Source organism: Homo sapiens, chromosome 12 (assembly GCF_000001405.40).
Source record: "Homo sapiens chromosome 12, GRCh38.p14 Primary Assembly".
NCBI lineage: Eukaryota > Metazoa > Chordata > Mammalia > Primates > Hominidae > Homo > Homo sapiens.
In genome coordinates, this window is record NC_000012.12 from 48036753 (window position 1) to 48048847 (window position 12095).

General features: G+C 42.5%; 1 protein-coding gene across 16 annotated transcripts in view, besides 2 other annotated features; it reads right to left on the reverse strand.

Annotated features, from left to right (window-relative positions):
- Nucleotides 816-1756: an enhancer, noted in NCBI's record as "H3K27ac-H3K4me1 hESC enhancer chr12:48431351-48432291 (GRCh37/hg19 assembly coordinates)". NCBI's record gives its function as "activates a minimal SCP1, AML or CMV promoter by ChIP-STARR-seq in primed H9 embryonic stem cells {active_cell/tissue: H9 hESC(primed)}" and the evidence as "EXISTENCE:reporter gene assay evidence [ECO:0000049][PMID:30033119]".
- SENP1 (SUMO specific peptidase 1) overlaps nucleotides 6145-12095 on the reverse strand; it is a 63183-nt gene continuing 57232 nt past the window's right edge. For 15 of the 16 annotated variants that reach the window (NR_051992.2, XM_017019237.2, NM_001267594.2 and 12 more), the window contains 4 exons: nucleotides 11249-11328; nucleotides 10226-10310; nucleotides 9604-9699; nucleotides 6145-8632 (listed from right to left, as the gene is read on the reverse strand). Coding sequence is in view for 14 of the 16 variants with exons in the window: in XM_017019237.2 (XP_016874726.1) it covers nucleotides 8570-8632; nucleotides 9604-9699; nucleotides 10226-10310; nucleotides 11249-11328 (324 nt within the window). In the remaining 2 variants the exon portion in view is untranslated. The remainder of the gene's footprint in view (nucleotides 8633-9603; nucleotides 9700-10225; nucleotides 10311-11248; nucleotides 11329-12095) is intronic. The other variant, NR_051991.1, reaches the window with a different exon arrangement.
- Nucleotides 8602-9801: an enhancer, noted in NCBI's record as "CDK7 strongly-dependent group 2 enhancer chr12:48439137-48440336 (GRCh37/hg19 assembly coordinates)". NCBI's record gives its function as "activates an origin of replication core promoter dependent on BRD2, BRD4, P300/CBP, MED14 and CDK7 cofactors, with strong dependence on CDK7, by STARR-seq in HCT116 cells {active_cell/tissue: HCT116}" and the evidence as "EXISTENCE:reporter gene assay evidence [ECO:0000049][PMID:35650434]".

Consider the following 12095-nt stretch of genomic DNA (forward strand, 5'->3'; position numbering starts at 1 on the left):
GAGAAAGGGACAGTGTGTATACCTCCTCACCACCACACTAACCATGATCTTCACCCTCCTTCCTCACCCCTACCACCAGTTACTGTGGTGTCGATATGGAAGCAGGGGCTACCAGGAGGGGACAACATAAAGCCAGCCTGTGTGTGCCTGTCCAAGTGAGTGAGGGGATGTGAGATGGTCTCAAGCTCTGGCGAAAGGCCTCCTCACCTTATTGGCTGGGGTGTAGGATGGTACATGGAACTGAGGGGCGTGGGAGGTGGAGGATGGTCCTCTGGTGAGAAGGGGAATGGCTGACGAGAGATAGGCATCTCCACACTACCAGGGCCAGAGCTGTGGGGCTTGGAGACTCCATTCAAGAGTCCTGTAGTTCCCTTTCCTAGCCAGACCCAAAGGACCTTCTCTGGTGCTGAGATCTTCAGAGAAATGCTCAGAGCTCCTCAGGAGACCTTGCTGCTAGGGTTTGGTCACTATTCTCTGTTGCAATTTGCCTTGAGAGAGCCCAAGTGGGTGCCTCCCCTCTGACTTAGATCTAGAAAGCCAGGGTTTTGAAGCCCAAAGAGGCTAGCCTCTCTTTCCATGAGAGTTGAGCCCATTTTCTGAGCAGACACAGGAGAGCTGTTGGCTCAGGGCAGGCAAGGAAAGGCTTCGTGAGCCAAGGGAAAACAATTAGGAGTAATTACCATCAAGAGAGGCCTCCAGTGAGGGGTGAGGGTGGGAAAGGCTGTCTGTTGAAGAGGAAGATGAAAGTGGCAGACTGATTTTGGGGATGAAATAGGAGAGAGGGCAGGAGGAGGGGTTGAGCCAGAATGTGTGCTGTCTTCCTTCTCCAGTAACAGGGCGGCACCCCTCCCCCTCAGTCTGTAGCTGAACTAACTTCCGCCTCTACAGGGCAGAGGGGCTCAGTGTATGGGGGTGGGAGGTGGAGGAGAGGGAGGGCACAAGGCTCTGCATTCCTGACATTCTCAAACCAGTAGGAATGGCCGAGGAAACTCCATGCTGAAGAGACAGAGCGGGAGACACAGACCGAGGCAAAAAGATAAAATGGAGCACTAGAAATGTTTCCAAATTCCTACAAGTATAGGTCCCCAGGTCATCCCCAGAGAGGGCCACCGCCTGGCACACTGGATTCCTGAGGCCGTCGGTGGGGACAGGCTGAATCCACTTGATGTCTCCCTACCTCACCACCTTCAATCCCTAGCCTTCCCCTTTCTGGATTCAGACTAGAGACCTTGAGGGAAAAGAGGTTTGCTAATGTGCACAGCCAAGAGCAGAGGATGAAAGGAGGAGCCAAAAAGAAAAAGGACAGACAGGAAAGGGTTGTCATGGGAGAGGTGAGGAGAATTCCTTGTTATCCCTGTCTGGAGAAGCCAAGAGAAAGTGAACCAATGACAGAGGGACCTCCTCATTCCCCTTGACTTCCAAACTATGATGAAAAGACAAATAAGGACCTCAATGTTGCTCACGAGAGAAAAGCAGAAGATGACTTTGAGAACTTTGTCAAAGGTTCTCTTATTTGGTTTCACTTTGGTCGAGTCCCCTTGGAGTCTAGGTCAGGCGTTTTTCCTGTTGAGATGAAGTCGTGTGGCCACGTGGAAGCAGCAGATTCTAGCACTTTTAGGGGTCTTGGAGTCATATGCTCCCTGTTTCTGTCACTGAAAATCTGAGAGACTCTGGGCAAATTATTTAATCCCTATCCTCCTCATTTTCTCATCTGAGAAATGGGGATAATAATGTACCTACATCATAGATTTGTGAAGATTAAATGAAGTAATACATATAAAGTATTTGACATGTAAGTCTCAGGCCAAGGTCTCGATAAATGTTTATATTATCATTAACACTATTTGAAGACAACAACTCTAACTGCCAAATGGACAATGAACTTGAAGCCAGAGACTCTGAGGTAGGAAGTATAAACTAGACACAAAGATGTGAGAACCTGGAATAGGGTGGAGGCTTCATGATGGAAGCACAGGTCAAAGATGCTAAATAACAGGAATTCATTCGTCCCTTCAACTATTCTCTCCTTCAACTATTCTAGGCACCTGGAATACATAATTCTAGCACCTGGAATACAGATATTTTAGTGATGGATAAAACAAATCATTTAATACAGGTTGGGCATCCCAAATCTGAAATGCTCCAAAATTGAATTTTTTTGTATGCTGACATGACACTCAAAGGAAACGCTCATTGGAGCATTTTGGGTTTCAGATTTGGAATGCTCAACTGGTAAGTATAATGCAAATATTCCAAAATCTGAGACACTTCTGGTCCCAAGCATTTCAGATAAGGGGGAGTCAACTTGTAATATAGTTAGATGCTGTTAAGTACTGTGGGGAAAAACTGAGGGTAAGAAAGCTATGGGGTGTGAGAATTGGGGTATAGGGTAACATTCCACCAGAGCCCAGAGGAAGCATTGAGTAGAATGGCCCTGAAGTAAAAGCAAGCTTGGCTTCTTAGACAAACACCAAAGAGGCCATTGTGGCTGAGGCAGAGTGGGCAGGGGAGAGTGGTGGGGGATGCTACTGGAAAAGTGATGGGTTGACTCTTACAGGCAGAGATGATTGGCTGGTGATGGGACAATGGAAAAATGAGGCACAGGAAGGTAAGGAAGTAAAATATTTTTCCTGGGGTTCAAGGAACAGGCACCCCACCCCCTTCCCTTTGTAACTTTCTGCAGAGCCCAAGACTAGACCAGATACCCAGGGAGTGGTTTGGGATAAAGGCTGACTCTGACCCATGGTTAGGTCCAGGTCCCCATTCGCAGGGACAGTCTATTGCCTGACTGGTGATACCTGGTGCAGACCCAGGCATTCGTCAGCTATTTTTAACCACATTCAGGAATCAGGAGAGCGAACGTGGCTTGAAGATTTCCCTAGTCACTCCATATTCAATTGGCTTCAAAGTCTTAACCATGACTAAAAGAAAACCTTAGAATTTGAGAACATCCTGGGGACAAGAAGAGGATCTTCTAACCCAACATAGAGAAAACTGTTCCCCCAAAATAATAGATTTTTGAGAAGTTGGTGCTTTCTTATGTTTTACTGTCATGAGTGTGAGTTTTACAGGTAGAAAAGTGGCAAGCACTTCACTTCGAAGTTATATTGTGAGAAGAAAGGGGTGCAGGAGAGGAGCAAGAACAGAAGGCCACAGTTAGCAGGGTGGGTTGGAAGTCCTGATTGGTGTGTTTGGCCTCAGGAAAGTTCTTTGGCAGCCTCCACAGACAGGTTTGGTTTTTTAAAGTGCCAAAGAGCCACAAATTTGCATGTTATTTGCGTTCCAGGCTTCACTTCCAGGTATATGGGATGAAATAAATGAATGAACAGTATTCAGACTCCTGGGTAAGGGGTGGACTCAGAAATCCAGACCACACCGAGGATCCAATCACTGGTCCAGCTTGGATCGGGAGACACAGGCACAGACAGAGACAGAGCAAACAGCCACAGAGACAGGGGGACAGAGAGACAAACACCATCAAGTCCTTTTTACCAGGGAGTTTCCAGTCAAAGCAAGAAAGCAAGATCCACAGTTTATTTTAAATAAGTCAACTTTTTAAAAATTAGGAAGAATCATATAGATAGGCAGATAAAGGCAACATTATCCCTGACTTACCTCCACCTTTGCCCCTTCATCCTCTACTTCTAGTTCTGTATGGAACTACATGCCTATGAGTCTGCCTTCTTGATAAGGTATATTGCTTGGTGTTTGCTTAGCTTCCTAAATTAGTTAACTATAAGGTCTACAGACTCTAATACAGACTCTAAGATCCTGAGGACAAGGTCAGCAGGCTATAAAAACCTGAGAACAAGGTGGCTTTTATTTCCATAGTCAAACCATCTTTTCACTCCACCCTTCAGGGCGACTAAGGCCAGTGCTTAAACACGTGCTTGTAAAACACCTAGCCTGAGGGGCTTCCTCAGAGTCTCAGTCTATGAGGGATGCACAATATCACCGGAAATAAAAAGGATGGAGGAAACTATTTAACAGAAAGCTGTGTAGAGAAAATACTTCCACAAGGCCCCTGGTAGAGACTGAGAACCCCCACCCACCCCAAAGAGCATGCTAAATGCTGAGGAAGGTGTTTTTGTTAAGGGTAGAGTGGAGCGTTAGGTTTGAGGCCAGAGATGAACGATTTGGGACCACAAAGGAGGTTGCAGGCTGCCATGAGCAGTCCTCCTTTCTTCACAATATATTTTTTTTAAATTTTTGTGTTGCCCAGGCTGATCTCGAACTCTTGGGCTCAAGGGATCCTCCCACCTCAGCCTCCCAATGTGCTGGGATTACAGGTGTGAGCCACTATGCCTGGCCCACAATGTTGTCTTTCTAAATAAATGTTGAATAATTACCTCTACCTCATCACTGGCAGGCCAGAAAGAAACAGCTTTTATTCCTGGTTTGAAAAAAAAGCACCAAATCATTTACCTGCCCTTGGTGGCTACATGTCTCAGTCCATTCATGATGCAAAAGGTGAATTACAATACAAATACCATGTGGACTTATATTATTTTCTGATTATAAGGGCTGCAGATGTCCAGATGAGAGATATTAAGATCATGTGATCAGGGAAGGCATCAAAGAGATAGGATTTGCGTACGATTACTCAGTAGGTATTTGTGAAAAGAATAAAAGTAAATTGAATGAGGGGTCTCCAGTGGACTGGACTCTGGACTTCTTGTGTGCCACTCTCCCACACTTTTTCCTTTCCTAGCACTTGTGTTCTGCAAAGGATAAGGCAATCTCCAGAAGTAAGGAATTGATGGCTACTCCTTAGATTGGAATGGAGAAAATTCTGCAGCTAAGGTCTTGTCGCCTTAACTCTAAAACCAAGCCAGTGCTAAGCCAGTGGCCTTAAAAATTTAACTTTGAATCTCTGCCTTGACTTCCTCTTCCCAGCAACATTGTGGCACTTAATACCATTCCAGAATCTTAGAGTTTGATAAGACCCCTGGACACGTGGTCCAACCATTCACATAATTGGAATTATCCCTACCATCTCCCTGACAGGCCAAAGAGACAGCTCACAATAACATTTCCTCGAGGTCCCAGCTCAAAGCCTCCTAGCCACTCTTTTCTCTCCCACAAAGGAAGTATGTGTAAGGTATCCTTTATTTTAACAGGTGACCAGCATAACCCTCTGTCCCACGTTTCCTTTTCCACCTTCAAAGCTGGGAATGGTAGTGTGTGTTCTTAGTAGACAGATGTTAGGAGTCAGTACAGGTAAAACAAGGCCCTAGACTTATAATAAAGGATGCTGGGATGAGCCTTGTCCCTTCCCATGGAATTCCAAGCTGTAGATGCATTGCTCCTGGGCGGGAAAATAAGGTACCCTTCCCAGTAGTTCAGCACGTGGCCTGTTTAACAATAGGGCCTAATAGCCTAACACCTCTTTTTCTGACTCTCTTGGGTATGTGAACTCCCAGGGTGAAAGCATCATATTCCACCTCATGCTAGTCCATCCAGGTGGACCAAACAAAAAGAAACCCCAGGTGTCAGTCCTCTCTCTTACTCCAGCAAGACATATTTAAAAGCTGGAGGGATGGCACAGGACCAGAAACTGAAACATTAAAAACATTGGGGCTCTCAAGTGAACTCTTCCCCCTTTACCCACTAGAGCCACTTAAGGGCCATGTAAAACCAGGCAGTAATGGACAGGCTATGAGATGGGGTTGGTGGAAGTGCTTTTCCAGGTTATCTCTGTTTCTACCTCAGGATCTTGGTGCTAACATTGCTGGGGGCAGTGGATAGAAGATGCTAGCATGATTACAGTGGCTAAAGAATACAGAAATTAATTCCACATAGAAGTATGAAGCATCTCATACAGAGGAGTCAATTGACACAAATTCCCCAGACTGGATGAGGGAAAAGTACTCTTATATTCAACCCTAAATAGGACTCCTGGGAGCAATGGTGGGTCCCAGGTGACAAATGGGATGTAACTAGCCTCTGTGCCTCAGACCATGTGTTTCTCAAATGGGTAAGAAAGGTCTGTCTGATATTCTCTGTTCAGGGTCTCGGAGTGATTCTTGGGATTATGGTTTCTGTTGAGGTCTCTATAGCTGGCATCTAGTGCTTATCATCCCTCAAATATTCCTTTTTTAGGGAAGGCAGGTGAATATGAGCAGTGGACACAGGAGAAAGGGGAACACAGGAGAAAAAAGTCTTATTTAGTTTAAAGTAAATTACATAAGATATTAATAACATGCCTTTGGGCCATAAAATGCAGAAATACCTTTTTTTTTTTCCTGGTCATCAAAGCCTACCCCTAAACAAAGGGGAAAGTTTCCAGATACTACTCCTGCTCTTGTTGGCTAGCTCAGGAAAGAATGGTCCACTGTGTAAGTCTGTATTTGGACCAGGTCCAGGGTGGTAAGATGGTCTCAGGGTCACTAACTTCTACCTTGTGCAAAACTGCATTAGTCAGAAAGGGGGCCCAAATTCAGACAGGCTCAACAATTCCTTATATATTTTTCAAAGTGCTTTTGTTGCATGTTTCATTTTCTGCTATACATGGCAATAAATATTTGTTGCTTTGGTCTGTACAAAGTCTGTGAGGAAGGTAAGACAGATGTTACCTAAATGGACAAACAATAAATACAGAGAACAATCTTGTTCTGAGTCCCCCAGACAATAGTGAAAGAACCTGAAAAAGGTCTTTTGATTCATAGTCCAAATCGACACCATATTGCCACCTTTCAAGTTGTTGCTTACATACAGTAAATACCAAGAACCAGACAATATTCCAGGAGTCCTGCAATGAGACTGCATGCCACAGCTTTCTAAAAGAGAATGTGAAGGTCCCCAGCAACTCATATATAGAAAGCTATTTATTTCCTATAGAAAACTCAAAAACAAAGAAAAAGAAAGAAAAATAAAGAGAGATAGAAAGAGAAAGGGAAAGAAAGAGAGAGAAAAAACAAACACACAAAAGGTGGTCTTTCCCCAAAAGGCAGGCAGTTGAAGGGAGGACATGTAGTTGCTGGAGTGGAAACAGTAACATTCAGTTAACAATGGAATATTTAAAAAAAATAGTTTTCTTTTCAAATTGTAACTTGTGGTAAAACATAGAAAAATGTACTAAACGAGCTTGTATAAAACAGTAAAATTTTCAAATAAGCCCAGGGAAAAAGCACAATGCTGGAAAGAATGCGGTACAACGGGAGAGGAGAAAAGATTTCATACAAAACTACCTATTACAATACAGAAAAAAGTATAAAATGTTCCTACTTTGGAACTTAAGTACAAAATGACACTGGCATTTGATCACTTCACTATCTAAGCCTGAGGAGCTCTCAGAGGGTGGGGAGAGATGCTAGAAAGAACAAAAGGAATAGCAGTTTTTAAATCTCAAGTTGATCAGTCCAAACTCCACCCGTTTTTTTTTTTAGCTGAAAATATCACCTCCCTCTGTAACCTCTACCCATATGGCAAAGTTCATCCAGGCCTCAAAAATATTCCATTAGGTAGTCCACAAACACCCTACTCATAGGGGCTGGGATCTCTGTGTGCTGGAATTTGGAAAATGGAAATAAATCTACAGGCTAAATGGTGAACACATTCAGTCTTTAAAAAAAAAAGCATATCCCTGTGAAATTTTATACATACATATATATATATATATATGTATGTGTATATATATATGTATATATATATGAAATTCTCTGTGGTTAGAAACATATTTAAACTAGCCACAGACCAAACTAGATCTGCATTCATCCAGCGCTGGAATTTTATGCTAAATACTAAGGTCCTTTTTCTTCTTGGTCAGAAGTAGGCAACAGTAAAAGTGGTGCTTTGTTGCGCCACTGAAACCGCTCCCTGGGTGGGTCTTCCCCGTATCATGTGTTGGTAGCACATGCAAACCCCTGCTTTCACGGAAAGGACTGCTTGGAACTTTGGGACCTGTCCAGGGCTCATGTGCTGTGCCTCCGGATAGGATGAAGCTACAGATGATAAAACAGCTACGTATAAAAGCAGATGGATTTTGTATAGGGACATATAAATAGGAAAGGTCCTGGAGGAAGGGACTTATGCCTGGGCCCCAAAGTCCAGTTTACAGTCACATTCCTGACCATACATCGTGAAAATTGTGTGTGTGTGTGTGTTTGTGTGTGTGGGTGTGTGTGTATGTCCATGTATATGCTGGTGGTTTTTATCCCTACCTTTTGCCCATGCCCTTTCCTACTTCTTAGTAAGGCCTAACAACAAGAATTTATATGAAACCAAGATTCTTTCCAAGCTTTTCTCAGTCCCATAATTAGGGACTGAGTGAGGCTGGAGCCCTTTGAAAACAAGATGGCAGAACTGAAGAAGTGAAAAGCAGTCTCTCTCTTCAGCTTAGGGATGTCCCTCACCCCTTTCACAGCACCAAAGTTTCTTTGCAAAAATAGTATCTGAGATACAAAAGGAAAGGCAGATGTGCTTGTGAATGCATCTCGCCAGGGCCTGGTCCAGGATCAAGGGTGTTACAACAGCAGAGGGCTGGGAGCAGCTGTTTCCAAGGTCTCTGGCTGTAGACAACAAAGAGCTGGTCCCCCACATGGTCAAGGTCTGCTAAGTGAGACAGTCTTCACAAGAGTTTTCGGTGGAGGATCTCCCAGACCATCCGCTTCCGGAAGTATGGCATGTGTTGCTGTAGGGACACAGAGACACCCTTAATTTTCAATGCTTTTGTCTAGACCTGATACGCCTTTCCCCATACTTCTTTCTTTTGCAAGGTTTTCAACAAACAGTCTCAGTTGTATTTCTGGTCTTTTAAATTATTCATTCTTGGTTACATGTAGTTTTTTTCTTTTCATTGCTTTTTCTATTGTTATTTTTCACCATTATAGCCTTAGAAGTTACACTGGGTATTTCCAGGAATCCCCAGGCTATGCCCACGTCTCTAAGAATTTTGAGAATGGTGTCTAATAAGTCTTCTATGTTGAACTTTTAAGAGGATATGAGCCTAGGCCTAAAAATAAAAAATTCACCTTTTAGAAGAATTAAGGGAACTTGAAGAGTCAGCTCAGGCTGGTCTAGACAAAGGGCTATGGTAGAAAAATCTGGTAAAGTCACTGATTCAAACAGAAGTAAAAGTGGAGAACACATCAGAATAAACCATAATCTCTAATCTCAATCCACTTTGGTCTGAGAGACCACATGGACAGAAATGACCAATCACTCTCTAAGAGAAGACTGACCAGATTCATCAAGTGAGGGGTCAGGGGAGGGGGCAGCATAACAAATTACACTAGGAGATTGAGGTATGGCCTATTCCCAAACCTGACTACTAACGAAATGCAAGGGAACTAAAGAAACCTGCTCTGGTCCCAGTTCTCTCTAGAAGTTACAGTAGGTAGAGGAGACAGGCAGAGAAGGTTCTGCTCTTGAAACCTTTACTACAATAACTGAGGTGTGGTAACCCAGGACGTGGCTTATCACTAATTTTCTTTCTTTTGTGATGTGATTCAGGTAGTAACCATCAGTGTTATGAATCATGGGCTGAAGCATGCTAAAGGTTAGGGTAGAGGCCCCTAAAGAGAACAACTGGAGAGAAAAACATCTACAGGGCAGCTTGGAGACAAAGTAATCCTAGAGCTCCCTATGGAAGGCTCAGCTCACCTGTGTGAAGTTGATTGGTCTGTCTTTGGTAATACAGTCAGCATATTTGCAGGCAAACATCCCACAGTCACTTCCATTCATCTGCTGAGGAATCTCCTGGAAGACCAACAACAAAAAAAATGACATCTTTCCAAGCTTCTTTCCTTCTTAGATTAAAAATAAGAACCAAAAGATATAAATTGTACAGGTTTCTCTAAATTACAAACAGATGACTCTGGCCCCCCAGTCAGGACAACAGAGGCTCAAAGAAACAAAATACAACATTCCAGTCAGGTCTGTGTACTCTGTATTAATCAAACAGGAGAATATCTCCGACTCCCATGGCACCTAAGGGTATAAAAACTGCTCCCTCCCCCAGAGGCCAAATAATCAGCAAACATTCCCCTTAGGAGTGAAAAGCTTAGTAAAATATCTGGGCATTTAGAAAACCTAGTTCTACATAAGAAACACACTATCACTTTTCCTACGGATAGCTTAATTTATCCTCCCCCAGAAACCAACCAACCAAGCTGAAGTCAGGCTAGACACGAACACAGGTGGTCCCTGGGAATTAAGCAGTAAAATTCTTTCCTCCCCAAATACCCTACTTTTAGGACTTTTATTTCATCAAGATGAAAGGTACCTGGCTTTTCTTGCTGAAAAGCTGCCAGCCATTGGTGTCAAACTCTTTCCTTTTCTTGTCAATGCTTTCTTGCTTTAGGTATTGCCTAAAGGTATCAGGAGAGAATGAGATAAGCAGTGGGGAACATCGATGACAGCTGCCACACTAAGAATGGGGCTGACAATACCTAGGAACAAATTTGTTTCATCTGCTCTTCTGAGGAAAAGAGTATATAATACTGGGCAGGGAATCCCTGGATTGTTAAGTTTTCTCCAGAGCTGAGCATGCCTCTTCTAGCTTGTCTCTTCTAATGTCCACTCTGTCAACTCAAAAGGAACATGACCTCTGCCTCTAACAGTTAAGCTCCTTCTACCTACCATTCCTTCTGAGGAACAATTCTTTTTATTCTTTTCCTTGGTTTATATGGTCCTTTAGAACTCAATCTAATGGAAGAAAAGTGTTTTTCTGGTACTATTGAGGTATTTATTTACTACTGTTAGGCTTGGCTCTCCTATCTAAAAATTAAATCCAAATCAACAATGTATTGAGTGCATACCTTCAATAGAGCTCTCTTTTAAGTGCAAACTGTTCACCATTGTGGAATGTACTTCCTCCTGGCCATCAGAGTGGTACAGTGAGGAATAGGTATTTTGGAAAATGAAACAGGTGGAGCATAAAGAGATTTGCATTCTGGTCCACCTGAGCCACTAACTAATAGGACCTGGGCAAATCAAAGGCACCTCTGTGGGCCTTGGTCTCTTCATCTGAAAAATTAGGAGGTTGGATTAAATGATTTCTAAGTAGCATCTATATCTTTATATCTAGTCTACATTTTAGTGCATTAGGATAGTAATTGCTCCCATTAGGGCATACTTTGGTATTGTTTTTAAACTAAACTTACTTAGATACAAAATATGCATTTTTACTTAATATGAAGATTTTATCAATCACTCCATTGAAGGTATCAAACAACTGAGTTCAATTACTGGAAAAACACCACCTATACCCGATATCAAACTCTTCTGTCCTCAACTCCCTACTTACAAGAGTATTCTGCAGGCTTCATTGTTTATCCCACCCATGGAGTCGTAATAGGTAATATTCTTCTTTCTAAAGTCCACAACCTGAGAATAAGAAAAAAAGTCTCTGTGTTTATGAGATGAAGAAAATCGGTTTATCAGTTTTTCCCTTCCCTGCCCTTTGGAACCTTTTGCCAGACTTCCTACAAAATCATGACAAGTTTGACTGATATTTTGCATTATATTATGCTTAATCTGTAGAGAAAAAAAATGAAGGGTTATTTACATAAAACTATGATGGCACTCATCAACAGGTGGCCCCATTATTGCTGTGAAGCCTTTTTCTAATGTTCATTCTCTCCCTCTGCAAAGTGGGCAACAGTGAAGAAACTACATGATTTTCAGGGAATATAAGGTGAGTATCTCAAAATCACTTCCACAAAGTTTCAGAAAGATGGTGAGCAGATTCTGGGTTTTATTTCTTTATATTGAGAAGTTCCTTTTGGCTTTATGCTTTTGAAATGTAATCCAAAACAGACTGTGAAATAGTTTTATTAACACATTAAGCTAATGCTCACAGAGTCATAAAAATATTAAATTACCAAGTATGCAAGGTAAGTTATGATTAGGCTGAAAATAACAGTCACAGAATCTGAGTGGCAGCATCATTAATAAGTCACTTTTTTTCCCCCATGCCTTCCTTTAAGGCTGCTTAGACACCCTATAACTCTCTTTTAAATATTTCTAGAAAGGGAAATTCCACAGCTTTCTTCAAAATCTACATCCCAATCTTGATAGGAAGTTCATAGATCTATCTGATTTTAGTCAACCTACTACTAAACACTCTTTCTCTCAATAATCAAGGGAACATG